The 25509-nt window shown below is 35.6% G+C and overlaps 1 protein-coding gene across 27 annotated transcripts in view, besides 1 other annotated feature; it reads right to left on the bottom strand.

Annotated features, from left to right (window-relative positions):
- Positions 1–25509, bottom strand: part of BCKDHB (branched chain keto acid dehydrogenase E1 subunit beta) — a 360067-nt gene that overhangs the window by 251006 nt on the left and 83552 nt on the right. For 26 of the 27 annotated variants that reach the window (XR_001743546.3, NR_187564.1, NR_134945.2 and 23 more), the window contains 2 exons: positions 14640–14737; positions 12459–12569 (listed from right to left, as the gene is read on the bottom strand). Coding sequence is in view for 20 of the 27 variants with exons in the window: in NM_001318975.1 (NP_001305904.1) it covers positions 12459–12569; positions 14640–14737 (209 nt within the window). In the remaining 7 variants the exon portion in view is untranslated. Of the gene's footprint in view, positions 1–10200; positions 12570–14639; positions 14738–25509 lie in introns of those variants that run through there. The other variant, NM_001424044.1, reaches the window with a different exon arrangement.
- Positions 3385–3579: a silencer, noted in NCBI's record as "fragment chr6:80921809-80922003 (GRCh37/hg19 assembly coordinates)". NCBI's record gives its function as "represses an EF-1alpha promoter that drives an FKBP-Casp9 reporter gene in an ReSE screen in phorbol 12-myristate 13-acetate-treated (for megakaryocytic differentiation) K562 erythroleukemia cells {active_cell/tissue: K562(+PMA)}" and the evidence as "EXISTENCE:reporter gene assay evidence [ECO:0000049][PMID:32094911]".

Here is a 25509-nt window from a genome sequence, read left to right as displayed (position 1 = left end):
AATAAAAATAGACCCCATGGCATGACTGATAATCTCAGTGTATTTTCTTCCTAGAGGATTTACCAGTTCTTTAATTTCTTTCACTGAAAAACCAAATGCCACGTTATTTTTCAGATGGTTCAACAAATATTTACTGAGCATCTACTATATTCTAAACTCTTCAGGACTCTTGCAGATATAGCAATGAACATAATACACAAAATTCCCTGCCCTCATGGGACTTAAAGGAAGTGGCCAAGGGCTGTCAGGCAGGACAATCAATGTAGTAGCCACATCCCAATATAGCATCCAACAGCCTAGAACTTGTTCCAATTAGTACAACAACTAACTAGTTGTGATCATGACAAAGAAAATCCTACAGGAAGAATGACTTGGCAGGAGGGACCAACTTTCAAATTGTCAGCCATCCTGTTTTGGAACAGAGAAACAAACTATTCTCATCTGAGAGGAGGGCACCGCCCTACCTGTTTTCTCTGCAAGGTCAAACCATATCCAAAATAATTCCAAACTCACACAAAATGAGACCATTTTTCCCTATGCCTAAGGAAAAGCATTTAAGTCTAACAGATCTTTGAATCATTTCTTAGTTTTTTTTTATATTAGAGGCTTATTATAAGCATGAAAGAAATACACATAATTTTTAACATATGACTTAAAATGACTTTATTATAGTCTACCCTCAGAAATATAAACTACTCTCAACAATTAAACACAACATGTAACAAGAATAATTTTAAACCCATATATCCTTGTACGGTCAAGAAGACATATAATTTTACCTAGCAATAGTCTTTGATTACATTTTTAACTAAAGGTTTAGAGAAAAAGAAGAGAGAAAATAATTCTAATTTGTTGTTTTCAATTCACGAGATCATCAGTTATTCTGATATATAAGCTAAACCATTTAGGTTACATTATAATAATGCCCTAGAATAAAACTACTGTCATACTATTTATTCAGAATTATAACATATGTTTAATTTACAATGGCAGAGCCAGGCCCCGCTGTGGAAACCTAGTGGTATTAACCATGAAACTTGGCCTAAGAGAGGCCTCTAGTGGTTATAGGTAGTTACTAGCTCCCTTTCCATCCCAACCCCTCAACTGTTTGAGAATGTTCTTGATTTCATTAACTCACTTTCTGTCCCCCTCTGCTCCCCTCAAACAGACACAGCCTCAAACAAAATAGCTAGTATTCAGTCACGGAATTATTCACTTAAGTTCAAGTAACCAATTTTTAAAATGTATATTTTAACTGGCAATACTTAAATATTAGAGATTCTCTATAGACAAATTCTTCAACTTCTCCATAAAACCAGTTTAAAGCTATTCAGTCTAACAAATCAGAATTAAATTTCCAATTTAATCTATGGGTCTTCAGAACATCTTCTGCACCATTCACAAATACTTGGTGATTAACACCCAGGTGCAAATGCAAAGAGTAAACAAACTTGGTCCTTCATCCAATTACTAAGGTTTGACTCCTTCCCCATTCCAGCTCTACAATTTCCCTTTCCTTTTTTGCTGAAGACCTCTGCTCCCTGATCGTCTCCATTCCCACTAACTCTGCCAGCCTTAGTGCCTGTCCTGCTATTATCCAGTTCCCCCAGTGAAGTCTTCTATAGCAAGAATGGAAATAATTGGGGTGAAAGGATGGGAGGAAAGAATGCTAAATCTAAGAACACTGAGCCCTCCCTCCCAGCTACTGTCACTCCCTCATGCCACAGCTGAATTACTTCTAGCTCCTTTCCCCTAAGGCCTTATCCTGCTCCTATGATAGACTACCCCTAAAATATCTTGAGACTAGAGATGCCCAATATGTACCCAAAGAACAACTATTCATTTCTATGAGTATGTCTTCATCTTCTACTACATAACCTATGTTTAAAAGAGAAAAGAAAGGGAAAGCAGGAAAAAGAGCTGGAGAGAAAAATGGAGGGAACAGAAATGAAGATATTTTCTCTATCATTTTCTAATTTTGTTAAAATTAAAAAAAAAAAAACAAAAAAAAACACTTCCCAAGAACTTCAAAAAGGTAGGAGATTGCTTTGGGCAGAGAGTGAGGGGGAGGGAAGACTGGGAGACAGTATCTTGTAACAGGGTGTATTTGAACAGAGAAGAACCCTCATCTAAAGCAGTGCACAGTGGCTGTGATGGCTACGAAATTCAGGACAGACCCAGTTTTAAAAGCTGCTATACAAATAGTAACTCCCATCTATTCAGAAAATGTAATTATCCATAAAACTCATGTCTTAGAAATTAAGAATAACTGAAGTTTACTGTACAGTCAATTTCACTTTGCCTTTCAAAGTAGATAAATTGTTCCTATTCTAATAAGAATTCAAATAAATAATTTCTATATGCCATTATGAAACATAGACAACCATTAAGAAAAGTCAAATGCAAGGTCAAAGCAAAACTTAAAACTTTTAAATAAATATTTCAATTTAGAATAAACTAATGTATTTATTCATAGAATACTGTTCTAAAGTTACTTTTTAAACTTTTTTATGAGCACCAAGAAGAAGCACCAAATTGAAAACATTTTAATATTACAACAGTTTTCATAGCATTGTTAAACTTTCTCTTGCTAATATTTATTACTTTTCAGCAAGTATTTATTGAGCACCAATCCTATCACAGTCATTGTTGCAGGTACTGGGAATTTTTGAACCAAAAGACAAAAATTTCTGCTGTCACAGAACTTGGAAGAAAGATCAACAATGTAAATAACAAGAGTACGTAACATTTTAGCTCATGCTAATCACTACAGAGAAGAGGAAAGAAGGAAAAGGTGAAAGGAAGTCTTGATAGGATTCAGTATCACATAAGCTGGTCAAGGAAGGCCTTAATGGTATTTGAGTAGTGCCTAACAGAATGATGTTGCAGGAAGTCAGGGAACCCGAATGGAGGGGCCAGCTGGAGCTGTGGCACAGGAACATAAATTGTGAAGATTTCATGGACATTTATCAGTTCCCAAATAATACTTTTATAATTTCTTACACCTGTCTTTACTTTAATCTCTTAATCCTGTTATCTTCGTAAACTGAGGATATATGTCACCTCAGGACCACTCTGATAATTATGTTAACTGTATAAATTGATTGTAAAACATGTGTGTTTGAACAATATGAAATCAGGGCACCTGAAAAGGAACAGAATAACAGTGATTTTTAGGGAACAAGGGAAGACAACCATAAGGTCTGACCACCTGCGGGGTCGGGCAAAAAGAGCCACATTTTTCTTCTTGCAGAGAGCCTATAAATGGACATGCAAGTAGGAGAGATATCGCTAAATTCTTTTAAGGAATATTAATATTAATACCCTGGGAAAGGAATGCATTCCTGGGGGAAGGTCTAAAACAGCCACTCTGGGAATGTCTGTCTTATGCAGTTGAGATAAGGACTGAGATACGCCCTGGTCTCCTGCAGTACCCTCAGGCTTATCAGGGTGGGGAAAAACTCCGCCCTGGTAAATTTGTGGTCAGACCGGTTCTCTGCTCTTGAACCCCGTTTTCTGTTGTTTAAGATGCTTATCAAGACAACAGGTGCACTGCTGAACATAGACCCTTATCAGTAGTTCTGCTTTTGCCCTTTGCCTTGTGATCTTTGTTGGACCCTTGTCAGTGGTTCTGCTTTTTCCCTTTGTCCTGTTCCCTCAGAAGCATGTGCTCTTTGTTAGACCCTTATTAGTAGTTCTGCTTTTTGCCTTTTGAAGCATGTGATCTTTGTATCTACTCCCTGTTTTACACCCCCTCCCCTTTTGAAGCCCTTAATAAATAAAAAACTTGCTGATTTGAGGCTCAGGTGGGCATCACAGTCCTACTGATATGTGATGTCACCCCCGGTGGCCCAGCTGTAAAAGTCCTCTCTTTGTACTCTTTCTCTTTATTTCTCAGCCAGCCAACACTTATGGAAAATAGAAAGAATCTATGTTGAAATGTTGGGGGCAGGTTCCCCTGATAGAATAACAGAGTGAATGAAGGGGCTTGCTGGAGAAAGAACATTTTCTAAAGGGTGGATGGGTGGTAGGAGGTGGAAAGCGATGAAATCAGGTAAATTCTTGTAGGCCATGGTAAGGAATTTGACTTCTCTCTCAATGGGAAATCACTGAGGCTTTTTGAAACTAGAAGGAACATGATATGACTCAGATTAAAAGTATCAACTCTGCCTATGGCAAGGAAAGGTCAGAAGCGCAAGACAGTTGTTAGGTGGCTATGGCCAAAACCCAGGAGAGAAATGCTAGTAGTCTGCAGCAGGATCAAGCAGTGGTCAGATTTTGGACATATTATGTAGGCAAAGCCAGCAGGATATGCTTTGGAATTTAATCTGGGAGGCAGGACACACCAGAAAAAGATAAATTAAAAAGACTGTACGGTATAAAGGCAAATTCTTATACATTTTAATAATTAGCATAATTTAATCTTCAGGTAAAGTTTAAACATGTCAGAATTATAAGTGTCAGTTTTTTCTTCTCTATAGATATGTGAAAATCACCTAGACCTTGTAAATGATTGTGCTTCAGTTCTTTTTTTGCAGTGTTGTTATGTAGTTGATTCTAGATTAAATGACAACGATGCTTGAGAATCTGAGTTTCTTTCAAAGCCTTTTGTTTATTCTCCTGCCAAAATCAAGTTCTTATTTTTGAAGGCACCTTCTCTGAATTTCTCCTTATTTAAGAAAAATCTTCCTTTCAAGCTTGACAGCACCTCAACAGCTATTCGGCCTGGCCACTGTTTTGTTAACACGGCAGCTCACTTTTTAACTCATTTTGAATGTGGTCTGCATGTCAGCAGGAAAGTCCATTAAAGCCCATAACCCTAACCACTGTTCTTACTCCTGGGAAGGCTTGAGAGAGAACAGCCCTACTTATGAGCTCCTGTTTCACATCAGCATGACAGCTGAGCTGAGTTGCAGGGAGAAACTGAACGAAGGGTGTGGACAGAGCTGCATGATAAAAGGAAAATCTTCCTGGCTAAGGACACCAAGGCTCTCTCTCCCTGAGTCCATAAAAGGGCTCACTACAATGTGAAGTAAAGGAAATGAATTAAACAGAAGATAGTGCTTCTTTTTATTTCTTTTTTAAAAATTTTGTTCAAGTTTAACATATATACAAAAAAGGTGCACCAAATGAGTGTTCGGCTCAGTTTTCAAAAATTTAACCTGAATAATCAGCACTCAGAACAAGAAACTGTTACCAGCAACTCATAGCCCTTACACACTCTTCCAATTATTAACCACTCTCATGATAATCACTAGCCTGACTTCTAACATCATCAATTAGTTTTGTCTATTTTTTACCTCTATATAAAATAAATCATTCAGTATGTACTTACTTGAGTCTGGCTTCTTTGTGTTTATGAGATGAATATACATTATTCCATTACATTTTTAGTTCATTTATTCTCATCGCTGAACAATATTATACTTATTATTGATCCATTCTCTAGTTGATGAGTACTTCGGCAGTTTACAGTGTGGGGCTACTAGAAGTAATGTTCCTATGAACGCTTCTGGTTTTTTTTTTTTTTTTTTTGTATATTTCTTCACATATACACATACAGGATTGGAATTGCTAGGTTATAGGGTTCAGGTAGATACTGCCAAACAATTTTCCAAAATGGTTGTACAAATTTATGTTACCAACAATAGTCTATGAGAGTTGAATTGCTCCACATTATTGCCAACACTTAGTGTACCTTTTCAAGACTGTTACCCATATTTCTATTGGATATTGGTCTTTTCTTTTTGATTGTGTAAGTACTTTATATTTCCAGATATAAGTTTCCTTGAGTTTCTCCAAATCTGTAATTACCTGTTTACTCTCTTATTGGCACCCTTTTGATGAATAAATTTTCTTAAATGTAATGAAGCACAATGTTATCAGCCCTTTTTTAACGTTAGTGTTTTATTAGTGCACAAGATCACATGAACATATTCACCTATGCTTTCTCCCAAGAGCATTATTTTTTCCTTTCACAATTAGATCTGCAACTCAGCTGTAACTGATGCTTGTGTGGTAAGAGTTAATATAATTATTTTTCATAGTACCCAAATGAATCAACATCCTCTATTGAGAAAACTACCTCTTCCTCTCAAAATTGCAAAGTCACCTTTGTCCTGAATCAGATAACCAGCAGGTCTGTTTCTAGACTCTTATTTTATTCCATTGGTCTATTTGTGTATTTTTATACCTATATAATGTTATAATTACTACAGCACTAATAACACATCTCAACATTTGATAATTAAGTCCTCCAGTTTTGTTCTTCTTCAAGATTGCTCTGGCTCTTCTTGGCCTTACAATCCACTAACATGCTATATGCTTCAGTTTATGGGCCTTTAATTTTCCTAAATAATATTCTGTGATTTTCTGTGTAAAGTTCTGACATACGTATCACGAAATTTTTCCCTAGACAGTCCTAATATCAAGAGGAAAGCTGTCAAAATTTCACTAGGAATTATAATTTTTGCTGCAGGCATTTTGCAACTAATCTTCACCAGAGTAAGATAATTATCTTCCATTTCTAGGTTGCTATGAAATTTTAATCATGAATAAATATTGAATTTTAATAAATACTTCTCTTGCACTACCAAGGTAGTCAGGTTTTTCTTCCTGTTTTCTGTTAACATGAGGAATTGTATCAACTGCTTTGTGAATATTTATGAACATTATGTGCTCTACATTTATTTTAAAAGCTGTCTATAATTTTCCTTTCTTATACTGTCCTAAATACGTTTGATATTAAGATTATGCTGGCCTTATAAAAAGAATTTGAAAGTTTTCTCTTTGATTCCACTCTCCGTAAGGGTTTGCATAAGGACTACATTTTAGAGAATTCACCAATAAAGCCATTTAGGCCTGGGGTTTTCTCTGTATGAGAGTTAATAACATTAAATTTAATTTTTTAATAGATCATGACTATTCAGATTTTCTAATTCCTCTTGTATCAATGTTGAATGACTTATATTTTTCCAGAAAATTGTCAACTTTACTCAAAACTTATTTGTAAAATTATTCATAACATCCTCTTTGTCTTACCATTGTCTGTGGGCTCTTCATCATACAAACAAATATTTGTCCTTTGTTTCTACCCTATTTTTTCCATTAGTTAAAAGTTTATCAATTACATTAATCTCTTCAAAGATCTAAATTTTACTTTATTAAATTTCTCTACAGATTCAATTTCAGTAATTTCTGCTCTTAATTACTTCATTTCTTCTACTTTCTCTAGGTTTGATTTTCTTTCTGGAGATGGAAATTCAGATCATTAATTTTTTTAATTCTTATTCCTATTTCCTAAATTTATATATTTACAGCTATAAAGTTTCCTCTGAGCATGGCTTAAGCTGGTTCTTGAAACTTTTGATATATTCTATCTTCATTAACATTCAGTCCAGTTTCTTTTCTAATTTTTGAGTTTCTTCTGTAATCCACGGTTATTTAGAGTAAGGTACTTAATTTGTAGGAAGTCGAGGCTTTTCTAGTTGTCCTTTTCTTTCACTTGATTTCTAACTGAATTCCACTATTGTTAGAGAACATAATCTCAATGACTCCAAGCTTTTGGAATTTTTTAAGGTTATATTTATGCCCCAGCATTTGGCCAATTTTGACAAATGCTACATATTCTATTGATAGTTTGGTGCACAATTAGGACAACTTTACAAATTGCTTTGTTCAGATCTTCTATACACTTCACGAGATTTTGTCTGCTTGATTAAGCAAGATTTAAGAGGGATGTCTTAAAGTCTCCTGCTGTAACTGTGAATATGTTCATACCTCTTCTGAGTTCTGTGTTTTCTTTGTTTAGTTTATGGCTTTATTTATTTTCAAACTATGTTATTAAGGATGAAATAGACTTAGGATTATGATATATTTAAGGTGGACTGGTCCCTTTGGCATAATGAAATGCTCCTTTTCACTTCTAGTAGTCCTTTTTGCCTTAATGCTTTATTTGAAATTAGTGTATCTACACCAGCTTTCTTTTTCCATCCTTTCATTTTCAACATTTTGATGTCCTTATATTTAAAGTATGCCTTTTTTAAGCTACACATGGTGGTGGTAGTTGTTTTTCATGAAGTCTGAGGATCTTAGACTTTTACTAGGTTTATTTAATCTTTTTGTATTTAATTTAATTACTTCTATATTTGGGTTTATATCATCTTATCATCTGTTATCTATTGACCCATCCATTTTTCATACTTATTTATTTTGGATTAACCAAATATTTTTATTAATTTATAGTTCTCTTATTAACTTGCTAGATATGCATTCATTCCCTGTTATTTCAGTTGTTACACTGGAGATTATAACTTGTATCCTTGATTATAACCTAACCAGAACATTACACTTCATAATAATCCTAGAACAACAGAATATTTTAACTCCATGTAAGACCCCCTAGCTTTTGTGTTTTTATTGTCTTACATTTCAATTCCATATATTTAACTTAAACTTCACTAAACTTAAACTTTCACAGAAAATTATGACTACTGTTTCGGATAATCAATACTAAGCTATAGTGTATGCTCTCCTCCATATTTTCTTTTAGAATCATTTTCCTTCTGCCAAAGGGAGCTCCCTTGCAGTACCTTCTTTTAGTGAGAGCCTGCTAGTGATAAATTCTCTCAATATCTGTTTGCCTAAACTATTTTTATTTCATCTTAATTTTTAAAAGATATTTTCACTGAATATAGAATTGTAGGCTAGCACAGTCAGCAATTTAAGATGTTATGCCATTGTGCATACAGGTGTGGTTTTCTTTGAATATAATCTTAAAAGTTAACAAAGCTTGTGTAATGATGTTCTGAAATCTTCATGAGAATTTTTTTTTAGATACTGTTAGAGATTTTCTCTCTCTTCTTTTTCTGGAATTCAAATTGTATATAAGACAGATCTTTTGACCAGATCCCAAATGTGTTTTATCCTCTTTTCTGACTTGTGCTTCAATTTGGACATTTTCTATTAACTAGCCTTCCAGTTCATTATTGCTATCATCTACTGAGTCCGATATGTTATAAGCCTATTCATTGAGTTCTTATTGTCAGATATATATTTCTCTGATGGCTCCACAAAGTTTACTTGATCCATATACATACATGTACACACACACACACACACACACACACAAACTTTCTAGGGTAATTCTCCACCCTCTTACCTCTTTTGTTCCTTATTTTCTCTATGTTCCTAAGCATAACAATCAAGATGTTCTTGTCTGCTAACTCCAATATCTGGATCAGCTGTGCTTCTGCTTTTTATTGTTTCTTTCCCCTTTGTTATTGATCAAATACTCCTGTCTCTTCATCTACTTAGTTTTTTATTGAATGCTGGTTTATAGAAGTTCCAGATAATGAGAGGATTGACTCCTTGGCTCTGCTGCGCAGATAGAGTAAAAGTACATAATTCAATAAAAAATTCAAAGGGGTAGAGGCTGTATTGTGGGTTTGAGATGACCTGGTCTACATCTGGTTTGCCTCTAATTGTAAGACCTAACTCTCCATGGCTTTCAATTGAGAGTATGATGGGTCTTTGTCACTTCATTACCAAGTGATAGCTTCACTTTCCAGATATTTTCTACTTACCTTTCACCATTCACACCTTTAGAATTTGGCAAATAAAAGGTCAAGTATGTGTTTAAATCCCCTCAAAATTTCAATTTTGTCACTACAGCCCCACAAAATATGAGTTCTATATACCTGGATTCTACACACCTGGTTGAGACCAAATAGCAAGTGTAGCCAACTAAAAAGCAGCTATAGGTCATCGGTGTCAACATGCCACTCATTTCAGGGCTTTGAACTCACACAGCTGATTCTCTTAAGCCAATCCACCTACACACACACACACACACACACACACACACACACACACACACACCCATGGCACAGGGTAGGTCTCTGTCTCTTAAGCACTTCAAAACTCAAGAATTTTCTACTGTGCTTTTCAGAAGTCTCCAGCTTAGCTTTTTAATATCAAGTTCAGAATTGAGTGGAAAAACTAGCTGTGGTTTCTAGGACCATTTAAGTCTCTAATTTTTTAACTCCCTTGAGCAACAGTCAAAGACTCTGCTCCTTTCTCTATCCCCGAGCAAATATTTATTTTGGTTTATAACTTCCAAACCATGTATCAAGGATTAAGCAAGAAGTATGAATTCCTCAAGTGTCCCAGAGGCATTTTAGTGTATAGAGTATGATAATGTGTGTTCAACGAATCGTTTTTGCCTTTAATATGCTTTCTTTTCTTGATCAGGCGTTCCAAAAGATATATATTGGGGTTTAGTTGACACACAACGAATAAAACTCAGCGATCTAATGAGTCATAAGACAAAAACAACTGATAAAACACAGCTAATTAAAAGAGATTATAATATAAATTTTGGTTACTATAGAATTCATCAAGATGAATTAAAAAAGCTTCACTCTGGGGGAAAAAAAACCCTCATTTTCCATATAAATATTTGGTTATAGGGCCCTCTTCTTTAAAATCATCTCTAAATCCTAGCAGGAAAAAGCTAAGTATCAAAATTTTACCTCTTTTGATACATCAAAAGAAAACAGGAGAGGTACCATCATCAGCAACGAAGAGAGTCTCAAATAGACCCAAAGCAATCAAGAAGCTGGCTTTCACTGTCACAACCGGATGAAAGCATCCCAAAACAAAACAAAATAATGACGCTAATAAGTCAGAGGTCTGATGCATCACTTTCTCATTCAGTAGAGATCGCTTGTCTCCTCTTTCATCTTTCCCAGTAGGATAGAGCCCTAAGGAAAATGGATCTGCATTCTAGGATCAGACAAAGATGCGACCAACAGATTTAACACAGTGATGCAAAAGCAAACTGCTATCGATGTAAATATAAACAACTTCACCCTTCTTTCTGCCCCTAACTCTACTCTCTTTGCTTCCACGGTTGCCAAAATGAAGTATTAGTATACTTGTGCTTTACAATAAGCTGCTACAAATGCTTTTTGAATGTTTAAGGTATTATTTATATATATATAGATAGATACGTAAATAAAGTTCTAAAAGTGCTTGCCCTGACCATATGTGAATGCCCTCCGCACTGCGCCATCATAAAACATCATATCCCCATACAAAAGCACCATCTACACTAAAAATACAAACCCCAGGATAAGTGGTGGATATATGTTGCAAACAAGAAGACAACTCTAGTTTAACTATAATTTGGAACGTCTGGCTATTTGAAAGAAAACCCGGTGTCTGACTTGATTTGAAAATGCCTGCAAAAAGCGTTATTTTCATGAAGCTATGAATAACTCAATCTGAAATATTGCTCTTAATTACAGCAACTACAAATAGAATGGCTCGGGATCATTTGTAAGCATGTCAAGTGTTTAGATGGTGTCAAGTGAGTCTTCACAAACATTTACTATAACAAATCTTACATCTTCTACTAAATTATAAAACACTCTTCACCTAAAAACATCCTAGGCTATACTTTTACAGTAGTATCTGCAGGTTATTTTCATGTAACTAACCCAAGAAAGAGCCTGTAAAAGCTATGAAAATGCCAAAGCTCTTAAAAGTGGTAAATATAAAATGCCCTATACTATAGCAGTATATCAAGAAAAAATAATACATGTCATTGTTTCCTACAATTTTACATGTAATTGTACATCTATCTATTAATCGTACATATATCTATTGTACTTATCTATTAAGACTAGGTACATATAATTTACATGTAGCTAGACTTAATTGATAAGACTATTACAAACAGAGTGCTTAACCTTCTTTGTATCAATATGAAAATAGATGCTTCTTAAATTATCTTGGCATTGGTGTGAAAGATACTGGATATAAAGAGGTAAATGAGAGCTAAACTATATTCTTAAGAGGGAACTGGCTATGTAAATCTTAATAGTAAAAACAAGACCAATGTAATCAGGCCAAAGGTCATGAGGCTACTTAGATAGAAACTGTAAATTAGAGGAGCCAGAATCTCCACATAACCCTTAGACTGTAATCCACAGTATTAAGACTATATACAGAGTTATGTTTTTAAAAAATCCATCCCCATTACTTTTGGAGAGAAGATAAATGAAAATTCAGCCAAATCACTTAATTTACCTGACTAAATTAAACCTAGCTTACTGAACCATAACTAATAAGAAGTCAAAAACACAGGTGCCTTCGGCATCCTTGATATGCTCTATGACTCACACAATTCAACCCAAGGTGACTGCATAAAGGACCCCATTTTGTAATATTTTAAACAAAGGAAACTACAGGAGGAAAAATAAATTCTATAGTGATTTGTTTCCTTGAGCATGAAGCTGTTTATACAACTTTCTTTCATGCTGCAAATTTAAAAGTTTTAAATCAATTGAAAATGCTCACATAGCTCACAATTTCAAAAGAATTATTTGCAAATATACAACATATTTGGCCAAAGGTTTCAGGGAAATGACATTCTATCACCATTATATTCATACCTTACAAATTGTGTCCACATCCCAAGGTATTATAGTCCTCAGATCAATGACTTCACAAGACACTCCAAGCTTTTCTTTTGCCATGGAAGCTACCTCTCGGATCACATGAACCTGAAATAAAGAGAAAAATATGCAGAGAATGACTACAAAGGTTCTAGCCTCAAAAACTAGTTGAATGCTGATGTCACTATTAGAGACAGTATTTAAAGTCTCAGGAACTGATCTGCATGGAGAATTTATAAATTTGTTTTAAATATGTTGAAGCCCATATTCTGCGAAAATAACAAGTATAGATGTCTAGAAAACAGATGGAAAGAGGTGCTTAGAGAGAGAAGTCAGTACCACAGATACTGATTACAAAGATGGCATGTAGAAGGTAAATGAAGTCATACAAATACGTAGAAAGCATGTAGAGGGAGAAGTAAAGGGTAAAAATCACCAACATTTAAGGAAAAAATGGACCAAGAGGAGAGGAAGGAAGAAAGAGAGGGAGGGAGGGAGGGAAAAATGGAGGGAAGGAAAGAAAAAAAGGAGATAAAAAGAACGGTTAAAGAGCTAGAAAGAAAACCAGGAGACAGTGTATTGCAGAAACTTAAGAGGAAAAGATTTCATAGGGATAGCAGCCAGTATCACATACCATAGCAGGAATAAGAGCTGAATTTAAACAACTAGAAGATCAGTAATGTTGACAAAAACAGTAAATTAGTGGGAATAGAACTCACAGCTACAAAAATATAATGAATTTAAGAAATTAAATACAGACACTAGAAAACAGTTGTTCAAGTTCAGTGTTAAAAGGAGGGAGACATAATCGTATTTAAGGAGAAAGGAATCTTTAAATAGTGAAGAGAAACATACTTTTTAAATAAGAGCAACAAGAAATGGAAAACTGAAGATGCAGGAGAGAGATGGACTAGCTAATAGACTACAGTCCTGGAGAAGGTAAAATGGAACGCAGTCTGAAACTGATTTGCAGAGGTTGCTAAGTAAACCAGACACCTCTTCTTCAAGACAAAGGGAAGAAGGAAAGAATTAGAAGCAAGAGGAAGAGCAAGTTATCTGAATTAATACCTAATACACTCTAACCTCCCTATTAAAAAGAGAAGTAAGGTCATGAGCTGACCACAGAGATGTGGATCAAAAAGTGGACAGAAGGATAGCAAAAAGGTTTGCCACACCCACCAAGGACAATATCAATGGGATACAACTCGCCAAGCAGCAGAGTTACCCCACTGAAGGTGAGAAACCATAAGGACTCTAGCTCTCCATGCCAAAAATCAAAAGGAAAGGAGAGTAGGAGCTTGTGATATTGAAAACTATTTTTGTTATCTTCTTTATATTGCATTGCCCTAAATTTCCTAAAATAAGGATTTCCTTTATACAGAAAAATTAAAACTGACCATATCTGTAAAAGAAGGAGAGAGAAAAGTAGAAGAGATAGGAGTTCGTGGCCAGAGAAAAAGTTGGGAGGTAGAGCAAAGTGACAGCAAGTCGGGGGGAAAATGAAGTGGATCAGCAGAGAGGGTCACTGGAAAAAAAGGAAGATATGGAATTTTGAGGCTTGACCAGTGGATGGGTCCACGTGAGCAGCAAAGTAATGATGAGAGATGGCAGGAAATGTGATGAAAAAGATTATAGCCATTTGCAGCGAAAGTAACATGGGTATACATGTATTCCAAAAGATATGTGTTTCTAATTAATACATTGTTGTAATATATTTATGGCCACCACATGCATATACATTTTAATATATATAGACACCTCACCTTCACTCAGAAATCCGTACCACAGACTTTCAGTTATAAGATGAGGAAGTTCTCAGGATCTAATATACAGCAGTGACTAGGGAAAATAATAGATCTGAAGTGTCCTCGCCCCCACCCCCACACACAAAATAGTAACTATGTGTGGTGATGGATCCATTAATTAATTTGATTATGGCAATCATTTCACAATGTATGCATATATCAAATCATCACATATATACCTTGAAGATATATAATTTCATTTGTCAATTACACACCAATAAAGTTGAGGGAAAAAAGAAATTAGCATCAGTAGCACCAGACTTAATCTGAGATATAAAGAAAACATCGTTTTCAATTTTTCATGTATCAGGATTTAAAATGAGAGCTTCCAAGCACAACGTAGGTTTTAACAGTTGGGATCAATGCTACTCACCTGAGTGCCCCAGGCAACTAGAGTAACATCACTCCCTTCCTGTATGACTTCGGCCTGGGACAGTGGGATGTTGTATGGTTCTATAGGGACTTCTTCCGCTAAATACAGAACAGGAAAAAAAAAAAAGGACATTTTTTCTGAGGTGACACTTGTGCATAAAATAATTTAAGAAGCTCACTGTAGCAAAGCTTTATTTTATTTTTTGTTTCTCTAAATTCTGTATTACTTAAAACAGAAATAGCATTTATGATATGGCTCCATGACATTACTGCACAGATGAATAAATGCAATATAAATGTATAAAACATATCAGCTATCTTGGAACAAAAAAATAAACTTTAGAAACTAAAGAAATCGTAATAAAGAAGGAACATTAGTCAATAAGAATGTATCAATATTGGTTTATTAACTATAATAATTGTATCCTACATGTATGTAAGATGTTAATAAGGCAAACCCTGTGTGTGGTATCTAAGAACTTTGTACTATGTTCATACTTTTTCTGTAAATCTAAAATTGTTCTTAAAAATTGTTATTACATGTGATAAAACTTTATTAAACTGAATTAAGTTCTCAGATCAATTTTCTAGAAAGTAGCAAATTTATGGGGGTTTGGAAAAAATAGTAGGGCCAAAAATTTTAAAGTAGATTGTATTTTTTCACCTTAGATCTATGAACACTTCATCAATCAGAGTCACTGACAACACCTTACTTTTCAAAGCTGAATACTGTAGACCTCAAAAAGATAAACTAAATCAGCTCTACCAAGCCAAAAGGAAGCCACTGGTATCTGAGAGAAAACCATTTTATGAACTTCTCTGCCCAACCAAGTTATATAGAGATGACTGAATCTGGGAGAAAATTATAAACTGAATTTCAAAATAAAATTGAGTACGAAGTTGATAAAACTGCCCAGTTATGCTGAGAAGCCTTCTTTAGTTCTTTTTTTTTTTTTTTTTTTTTTTTTTGAGACAGGGTCTCACTCTGTCACCCAGGCTGGAGTGCAGTGGTGTGATCTGCAACCTCTGCCTCCCAGGCTCAAGTGATTCTCCTGCCTCAGCCTCCCAAGTAGCTGGGATTACAGGTGCACACCACTACTGCCAGGCTAAATTTTGTATTTTTAGTAGAGATGGGGTTTCACCATGTTGGCCAGGCTGGTCTTGAACTCCTGACCTCAAATGATCCACCCACCTTGGCCTCCCAAAATGCTGGGATTACAGGCATGTGCCCGGCCTTTTTTTTTTTTTTTTTTTTTTTTTTGAGACAGAGTCTCACTCTGTCGCCCAGGCTGGAGTGGAGTGGCACAATCTTATAGCTCACTGCAACCTCTGCCTCCTGGGTTCAAGTGATTTTCAGACTCTCAAGTAGCTGGGATTACAGGCACGCACCACCACGCTCTGCTAATTTTTGTAATTTTAATAGAAACAGGGTTTCAACATGTTGTCCAGGCTGATCTTGAACTCCTAACCTCAGGTGATCTGCCCCCCGAGGCTCCCAAAGTGCTGGGATTACAGGCGTGAGCCATCGCGCCTAGCCATTCTTGAGTTCTTATGCGAAAATACTATCAGTGGAAATGCTGGAAAAAACTGTTGTTCCCTTTTGTTCATTTTCCCCATGGACTTTTTTATTATATATGTATATTCAAAAAGGACAGAAGAATAAAATTAAAGTAAAAGCCTCCCTCTGGAAGGCTCCCAGTTAGCCCTTCCAACTCCACCGTCCAGAAGTAACCAATGTTAACAATTTCCCAGGAGTCTGCTGTGGACGGCTCTCACTCTTTCTGGCATCCAAGATTCTGAATCCTCTTCCTACATTTGGTAAATCCCCTACCTTAGGAGGCAGGGCCCTTTGTCCACTACAGAAGTGAGTTCCACATTCTTCCCCGCTAAGGTTCCTCTGCAGCCAGGGCACAAAACTTGGGCTCTGGCAATCCAATGCACCCACAGCAGACTCTGAATTGGAAGCTGATGACACAGAAGAGCAGTAACTGTCTAGAATTCATTCTGGAATACTGCTAACAGTGGAGGCAAATCCGGCATCTAGGCTTAGTAGTATCAAGGATTCAGACTGACAGTTGCCAGGGCCTCTTTGCAGAACCAGTTATTTGGGGTATTGCTTCTAGATATATGGCCTCTAAACCTGATTCTCAAGGACTCCAGAAATCTGTGAGTAATTTATTATCCTTCAATAAATTTCTTCCGCTTATATTGGAGAGTTGATTTCATTTGCTTGAAAACTAAGAACTGATTCCATATCTATTCAGATATTTACCGTATGTTAGTGTACGCATATATAATATTTTTTCTTTTCACAAATAGAATCACATTGTACACACTGTTCAGAACTCTTCTACAATCTGCATTTTTTTCACTCATCAATATACTTGACCATATTTCCATGTCAAAGTAGTTTTTAAAATCATGTTTATAAGTAAAAACTATTAAATGTAATGGGTGCTTTATGGGTGATAGAGTGGTGAATTTTATTCCTTGTTTTTTTGTAGATTTCCAATCCAATGACATTTATATAATCAGTGTCAGTGAGAGCTTAATATCATTTAAATGATTAATATGTTTAAATAAAAAACAGTAAAATCTATAAAACTACTTTTTTAGATAAATCCCAAAATAGACAATAATTAAGCTAACAAACCTGGAACATAAAGCAGTGTTAGAAAACTTATAAGCATTCATACACTTCTTTAAAAGTTTTTGTGTAGCTCCCAAACTATGTTGAGTCGGATACTTCCACTGTCTAAATGAGGGGTGGGCTAACTATAGCTGCAAGTTGATTTTTTTGTAAACAGCATTTCGTTGGCTCACAACCATGCCATTGATTTACACAGTGTCTACGGCTGTTTCTACCCTACAACAGCAGAACTGACTAGTTCCAACAAAGACAGTATGGTCTGCAAACCTAAAATATTTACCATCTGTTCGTTTACAGAAAAAGATTGCCAGCCCCAATTGTAAACAATGCTTTCAGAGGTTAATTCTAGCCCATTCATTGATGGCTTAACCCCAGTATTCATTGCATGGATAGATGCATAGACGGATGGATGGATGGATGGATGGATGGATGGATGGATGGATGGATGAACAGATGGATAGATCAATGGACGGGCGGGTGGACAAATAGACAGAGAGGCACACACATATCACTGAAGTAGTATATTCTACTTAGCAGGTCTTAATTGTTAAACCAAAGTGAGGGTCAAGAACAATGCTGATGACATCGGAAAAATGCACCAAAGATAGCACACAGGCTCTTTGCCATCATCAAGTCTTTCCCCTGGCAGCAACATCTGAATGCCAGTAGACAAGGCTTAAAGCCAGTACACATTCCATCTTACTTGTAAGTGGCCATGATTCAAGAGTCCTCCTGTCTTTCCAGCCTTGTAAATCAGTTACCAGCTGGTGATTAGCAAATCCCTGGAACACACAATTCTAAGGGCTGGCAGACCACAAGAAATGGGTTGGCATCTTGGCCCATTTCCTTTGTCAGGTTGCCAATGAGCAATTAATTGCTCTATTGTCTTAAATAAATTACCCCAAATAATAAGGCCTCATTATTTTAACAATTAACTAAGGAATAACAAAGCAAACAAAGTTTTATTCTCTATTTTAAAAACACCATACTTACAATAAGAAAAAAAAACCTCCTCTTAGATTTGCTTAAACATTATCCTGAGAACAGGAGAATAAGAATTAATTTTAATATGTCCATTTATTTAAATTTGGCAAACAAGTCACCTGAGAGAAGCTAGAATTCATAGATACTTCTTAGTTAAATTTAATTTAAAACATATTTATTCCAGGAAAAGGTTATTATTCCAAGTTAGCTTTGTTGCATTCCTACCCCACGGCTATGTGCTTTCTAGAAGAGAGCAGGTGACAGGAGTTAGAGCACGAATCTTCAGAAGCTAAAGAGCACCACACAGAGTCATATTACAGATTCCTATTTTCACAGAAGTGGGACTAACTGACACCGCTCTATTTCACCACACGCTGATTACATTAGAATCTTAGGACTAATAAGCATTCCTCAGAGAAACACTTCAGCATCAGATAAATAGTGACAAAATGAACAACTCAGAAAAATAAGAAATCTTTTCAAGGCCAAAATTGTAAAAATGCAAATATCAAACAGGATAGATTTTTTTAATGTATATTGTAAGTTTCCACATATACACTTCCGTGTACATGCAAAAGCACTCATTCATACTACACATTCACTTAGAGATTCATGCTGTGAATTTGCTCATCCTTGGCCCCATTCTATTTCCCATCCTCCTCCTTTTTTCTCCCAGTTTTCTTCTAATTTGCTATATAGCTTATAATCCATCTTAAACACATTTTTGGAAGAGGTGAGGTGTGTAAATAATATATATATATACCAAGTTTAATATACATTTTTCATTGAATAGTTGCTGCATACTCAATATATGCAGGCATCATGCAAGATGCTGGAATATGAATTGAAAAACTGAATTGCCATTGAGAAGCACACGCTCAACTGTGAGTTACAAAGATGGAAATAGATTTATAAGCCAACAAATAAAATCATAATATAGCAATGGGAACAAATTGCTCTGGGAATCTAAAGGGAAGCAACAACTCGGTTACAGGGATAGGTTTCATCACGGAGGATACAACTGCTGTGGGTCTTAGAGACAGAGGTACTTGACACAAGAAAAATAGAGAGTATATTCCATAAAGAAAGAAAAGGTATACACAAGCGTGAAACCATGTTTATGCTTGTGTATACATCTACAAAATCAGATTTACATATTTCAAGTAAAGGTGAATACTGAAACTTATAAATTATATTCCTAAGTCCCTAGATAGCACTTTCCAATCCTTCTGATTCAATATATTAATAACTTGTGCAGAAAGCATCTGCAACAAAATAACAACTCACTCTTAACAACACAAGTTTCCCTGTGAAGCACACTATTACCATTACAGAGATAATAAGGTCATTTCTCTGCCCTGTCACTAATCTGCAGTAATGCTAGTTTCCCCACAAACATGAAACTCGGATAGGGCTTTATTCATATTGCATTACACATGAAATAGTGAGAAAACATAAATGTTCTCTATTTAAAATGAAGTCAAGTATATTCCTAAAATATGTTAGCTCATGCTGTCTGATTACAGCAGCATATTTGAAGTCTCCATACCTGAGAAAGCCTGTCTGGTTTGTTAAAATTCAGTCTAATGGGGAAAGGTAGGAGGGGCGTAAATCTACCCAACCAGAAACCCAATTCTGGCTTTGTCTCTGTATCTAATGAGTTTGGTCATCTCTGACAAAATATTGTGTTATTTTTGTGTCCCAGTATTCCACCTGTAATCTTAGGACCATTATTGGAACAAAGTGTGAACACATTAAATTAATCAGCTCTTAGGAAGAAAATATCATCACAATTTGAAGTAATTCAATGACAGAGTCATTAAGGCTAAAAAAAGAGTTATTCTTTTCACTATTATTTTCTGTATAAAACTGATAATCAACTATAAACTAATATTGGATTTCTATATTACAACTGTCATTTTCTGAATTAGTAATCTCCTTTCAGCTTTGAGGTTATTAATCAGTCTTTTTTTGACAATTTTCACTTCTATACCAACTGTTACTTTTAGCACTGATGCTAGAGATAAGAAAGAATATATGAACAAGAAAACTAAGTGCACTTTCTTCTAGTAATCACTTTTAAATTATTCCCTAAACACAGTTGTACCCAATCTTTTCCTCCCCCTTCACCTTAAATTATCGAAAAATCTAAAGATTAACAGTCTATATTAGAAAGACTAAATCAAGATACTATTAAAAATATTTGTTTCTGTCTCCAAGTAATCAAAAAAAAAATCTGTAGAATTGTCCACGCTGGCAAGAAGATACCATCTAATTAGAAGATAAAATTAACTTTCAATAAATAAAATAATAATTAAGTGCCAACCTTTGGTAGTACTTAACCCACAGTGATTATTGAGAGCATGTTTGGACAAAATAAATTGGTATAATAAGTCTCAGTGTCCCAAGGGAATAAACCAGAGAGGACTCCTGGGAGCAACAGTGGGTGAGGCTCCCACAACACAATATAGACTTTCAAGCCATAAGCATGACAAGGTTTTACTGAGTATTATGGCAAAAGGAAGGCAAAGAAGTGAGAGATCAAATGAAGTGCAGCAAATAAAGAAAACCATTTTAAAAAGGCAAATCTTGAAAAATAAATATAATTAGCTGCACAAAGGCTAAAAGCTGGCATTCTTAGCAGTGGGGTACATATTCATAACAGAAGAGTAAAAACAAGTAAACATCATCTCATATGATGCACTGAAATGGACACTCTGTCACTTGTATCACTTCTATAATATTCTTGCCAAAAAGACATAACTTGAGTTTAATCATGAGGAAACATCAGACAAATCCAATTTGAGGAGCAGTCTACAAAAGAGCTGACCAAATGTGGCGACCATGACAGACAAAAAAGACAAAGGAACTGTCTTCCCCAGAATAAAGGAAACTAAGGAGAAAGAACGATAAATAGACTCTGGATAGAATCTCAGTCCAAAGAAAGGACATTAGTGGGGCAATTAACGAAATTGGAATTAAGTGAACAGAGCAGTTAATAGTATTGTATCCATGCTAATGTCCTGGTATTGATCAATATTACCGTGGTTATGTATGAGGTTAACATGGGGGAATGCTGAGTGAAAGGTACATATGAATTCTTCATACTATTTTTGCAATCTTTTTGTTTGAACTATTTCGAAATAAAAATTTTAACAAAATTTTTAATATTAAAATCAAAAACAAAAATGAGGTTGACCCACCTTAACAAGTCTCCCTTAGATGGCTGGGAAAATAAGTTGTGATATAACAGAAAGTATACCAAATTAGAAATGTCATTGAAAACCGACTATGAGAAACTGGGCTTAATGCAAGGCCTGACAGAGACACTATACATTGATACTTCCTTGTGAAACAAATTCTGTTTGGAAATGCTAGTACAAATGAAGAAAATGAGGATATTAACAAAGCTCTCTAACTGTAAAAGAAGCAAAACCACATTTGGTATTCTATTTATGACCTCCTTATCTTCCTGGATAAATTTAACTGAGTTCTGAATATTGAGAGACATGAATATGTGAAGATGTAAATTCAGTGTCTGCATATGCCAGTCAGCATTTTGCTAGACACTCTTGACCACTAAATGAAAACCAATGACCAATCAACAGTCTAAATATATCAAGTCATAATCAGCTAATATCTTTCATGTAACCAGGAGACTTTTTTTTTTTTTTTTTTTGAGACAGAGTCTCGCTCTGTTGCCCAGGCTAGAGTGCAGTGGCACAGTCCCGGCTCACTGCAATCTCCACCTCCTGGGTTCATGCAATTCTCCTGTCTCAGCCTCCTGAGTAGCTGGGATTACAGGTGCCCGCCACCACACCCAGCTAGTTTTTTTATTTTTTAGTAGATACAGGGTTTTGCCATGTTGGCCAGGCTGGCCTTGAACTCCTGACCTCAGGTGATTCGTCAGCCTCGGCCTCCCAAAGTGCTGGGATTACAGGCGTGAGCCATCACGCCTGGCCAGGAGACTTCTTAAACTGAGATACTTGTACATATAAAACATGATTTTAAGGTCGTAAATGTTTTATACTGTTATTGTTTCAGAGGATAATGTTTTCTTATTATCACTGAGTAACACTGAAAATTAAAAAAAAATCACCTGTTATTTTTAAATGAACAGCAATATTAACTTGAAACAGAAAGTCTTGGACCCACTTAAACTCAAATGCAGTCTAATTTTTTTCTTCAATAATTAATTAACTGGTAAGTCTCACATTTCCAGTTCTTTTGCATAATGAGATAAATTAGGAATCTTTTCAAAATAGTTGCCAAATATTTGCTGGGTGCAGTGGGTCATGTCTGTAATCCCAGCACTTTTGGAGACCGAGATGGGCAGATCACCTTGGGGTCAGGAGTTCGAGACCAGCCTGGGCAATATGGTGAAATCCAATATCTACTAAAAATAGAAAAAAATTAGCCAGGCATGGTGGCACGTGCCTGTAATCCCAGCTACTCGGGAGACTGAGGCATAAGAATCACTTGAACCTGGGAGATGGAGGTTGCAGTGAGCTGAGATCACACCACTGCACTCCAGCCTGGGCAACAGAGCAAGACTCCATTTCAAAAAAAAAAAAAAGTTGGCAAATATAAATCACAAAAGTAATGATATGATAAGGCACCTTCATATTTCTTATAAAATTTCCAAATTAACTTCATTACATTTCCCTGTCTCATTTAATGTAAACAAAAAAAGAAGCTTTGATGAGACTGATATTCCATAATATGCATCAGTATATTTAACACACAACACATTAAAATTTGGCCACATTTATAACACAACTTGTTCAATCTTTGCAATTACCCTTAGGGTTTTTTGTTTGTTTGTATACTGTACTCTCTGGTATGCAGCATTTAATAGTGTAGCAAAAGTTCTCCTATCACCAGTTTTACTGGCAATTGTTTGTCTTTCATGTTTAATATATTTGAATTCCTTTGGTAAATATTTTCCAATGCATTTTCTATAGCAAGGAGCTACACATATAGAATAAACTTTGTTCATAGGGTGTCAATTTTACAAGGTAAATTGGAAAACTGGCGCAAAAAAAAAATTGAACACTGAATAAAAGGGCGATATTTTAAAGCCATTCTACATCAGCACATAGAGTTTAAAAGGGAAAAAATATTACCTAACAAAAAGAATTATACAGAGATAGAAAAAAATATTTCAATAAAGGGCATCATTATTGTATGAACCATTAGAAAAAAAACTGCTAATTAAACTGATACACTTTTTAGAACTTTTATTTTATTCTTATTGAAAGAAAAAAGACTTAATTAGATATGGGTTTTTATTATCTATCACACTGACACAGACATAAAAACAAAACATAAGCAAAATAAGTTGGTTTAATCAATTCCTAAAATTCATGAAGAAATCCAAATGTAATTCTTCTCCCTCACTCTTTGACATATATCAGTGTCCACATTTCTCCAGAGAATCTCATTTTCTGTGTCACCAAGCACATCAGTGATGCAGCACTTTTTTAAATGAATTCATTAAAAAATTGAAAGATTGATGCTAAGCTCTCAAGCTAGCTCAGTAATTAGGCACAGCCTACTTTAGACTCCTGCTTCCAAGGGTTGTTAAACTACTGTGATTTCCCACTTCCCCACCCTTCTACCTCACCACAACCATTTAGCATCTCCTTGTCAAAAGAGTCTTCAACTTGTCAAAAGAGACACCTTCTCTGGTGTCTCTGGAATTTTATTCTAAGCTGTATTATGATTTTTATATTGGCACATAAGCAGATAACAGCAACTACTGGCCACTGGATGAGATGACTGCAACATGCTACTGTTTTTAAGTCACAATCCAATACCAGAGATATTAAAACATGAGGGGGGGAAGGGGTAGCTTAGAATCAATGAAATATAGTGGCTTCTATTGGGTAGATGACTTTAAATCATTGAAATATTAGTATATATTTAATATATTTTTCACATCATGCTTTTGGTAATGTAAGTCCCTCAGTTTTCATAAATCCAATATTACCCATGAGGAGCAACAATTCCCCCTAGACACCAAGCACTAGCTGTGTCCACTGACTTCCTAAATGCAGAGGAGACAGAAAAAGTCACTGGGACACACTGACAAAACACAATTATTTTCAGGTAAGAAAGATATACGGGGAATACATGCTATATTTATTAGACTGCAAAATTCCTTATTGCATATCTAACATTAAATGACAACTGTTGATTTTATTGATGAGCACCCTCTTCTCGAGGGCAACCTCTCCAGAAAAATTTAATTTAATTCAGGGAATCTGTTACAAAGACTTTGGAAGGGCTAGAGTAACAAATGGTTAAACAATGCAAACCAGGGATCAGGAAGCTGCTACCATCTCTGAGCTGGACCCAACAGCCCACAGGAGCCACTATCAGTGCTGGAACCACCATTGGCTGCTGCTGAGCAGACCCATCCCTATTAAATGCCCTGCCACCAACATCGCTGCCATCTACACTGTGGAACAACGGTCACTGCAACACAGCGAAGTCTCCTCAACTGCCACTACCAAAGGTGCCTCAAAAACCTCAGTGGCGTCCTTTCTACCTTCCTCCCACCCTCTAATGAAACTCAGCTAGCAAAGGGGTGAGGAAAATACAGTTTACTTGCTTCCAACCCATGAATTACAGAAGAAAACACAGAAGGGCAAGTGTGAGGATGACAGACAACTAACAAAGACCTAACAGAGATTTAAATTATAAATAGCACTTAGATGAAAAGGTCACCTTTTATGAAATAAAACTCCAATATATTAACAATAATGAGAAAAGCTAATATTTAGTGAGCCCTTTCAACATATTAGGCACGTTTAAGCACCTTTAAAGTATCACCTTTTATCCTTACAACTCAATGTGACTGCTACTAGATTTATCCCAATGCTACAGATGAGAAAACAGGCAAAGACATATTAAAGAACTCGGTTATAGATAGTGTGGCCACTCAGCGGTCCAAGCTCATAACCACTGTTATAGTAGATAGAAATCTGCCCAAAATGGGTTTCAGAAGTATTAAATATAAACATATATCAAGCTTGATCCTTTCCCTAAGTCTTGAAAAATTGCAAAAACTGTGTATTTTAAAAAGGGAGGTGTTATGCTTGCCATATTTGTTTAAAAATAGAAAATATAACCTAAGATTATATAATGGCTGTTTTTCCTGAGACTAATCAAAGTGTTAAATCTAGAATTCTCTCACAGACTCCCAGCCATTCCCTACCATTTTCTCAAATTA

The sequence above is a fragment of the Homo sapiens genome, chromosome 6 (assembly GCF_000001405.40).
Source record: "Homo sapiens chromosome 6, GRCh38.p14 Primary Assembly".
Taxonomy (NCBI): Eukaryota; Metazoa; Chordata; class Mammalia; order Primates; family Hominidae; genus Homo; species Homo sapiens.
Note: the sequence above shows the minus strand (reverse complement) of the source record. Positions and strands in the feature narration are given on the sequence as shown.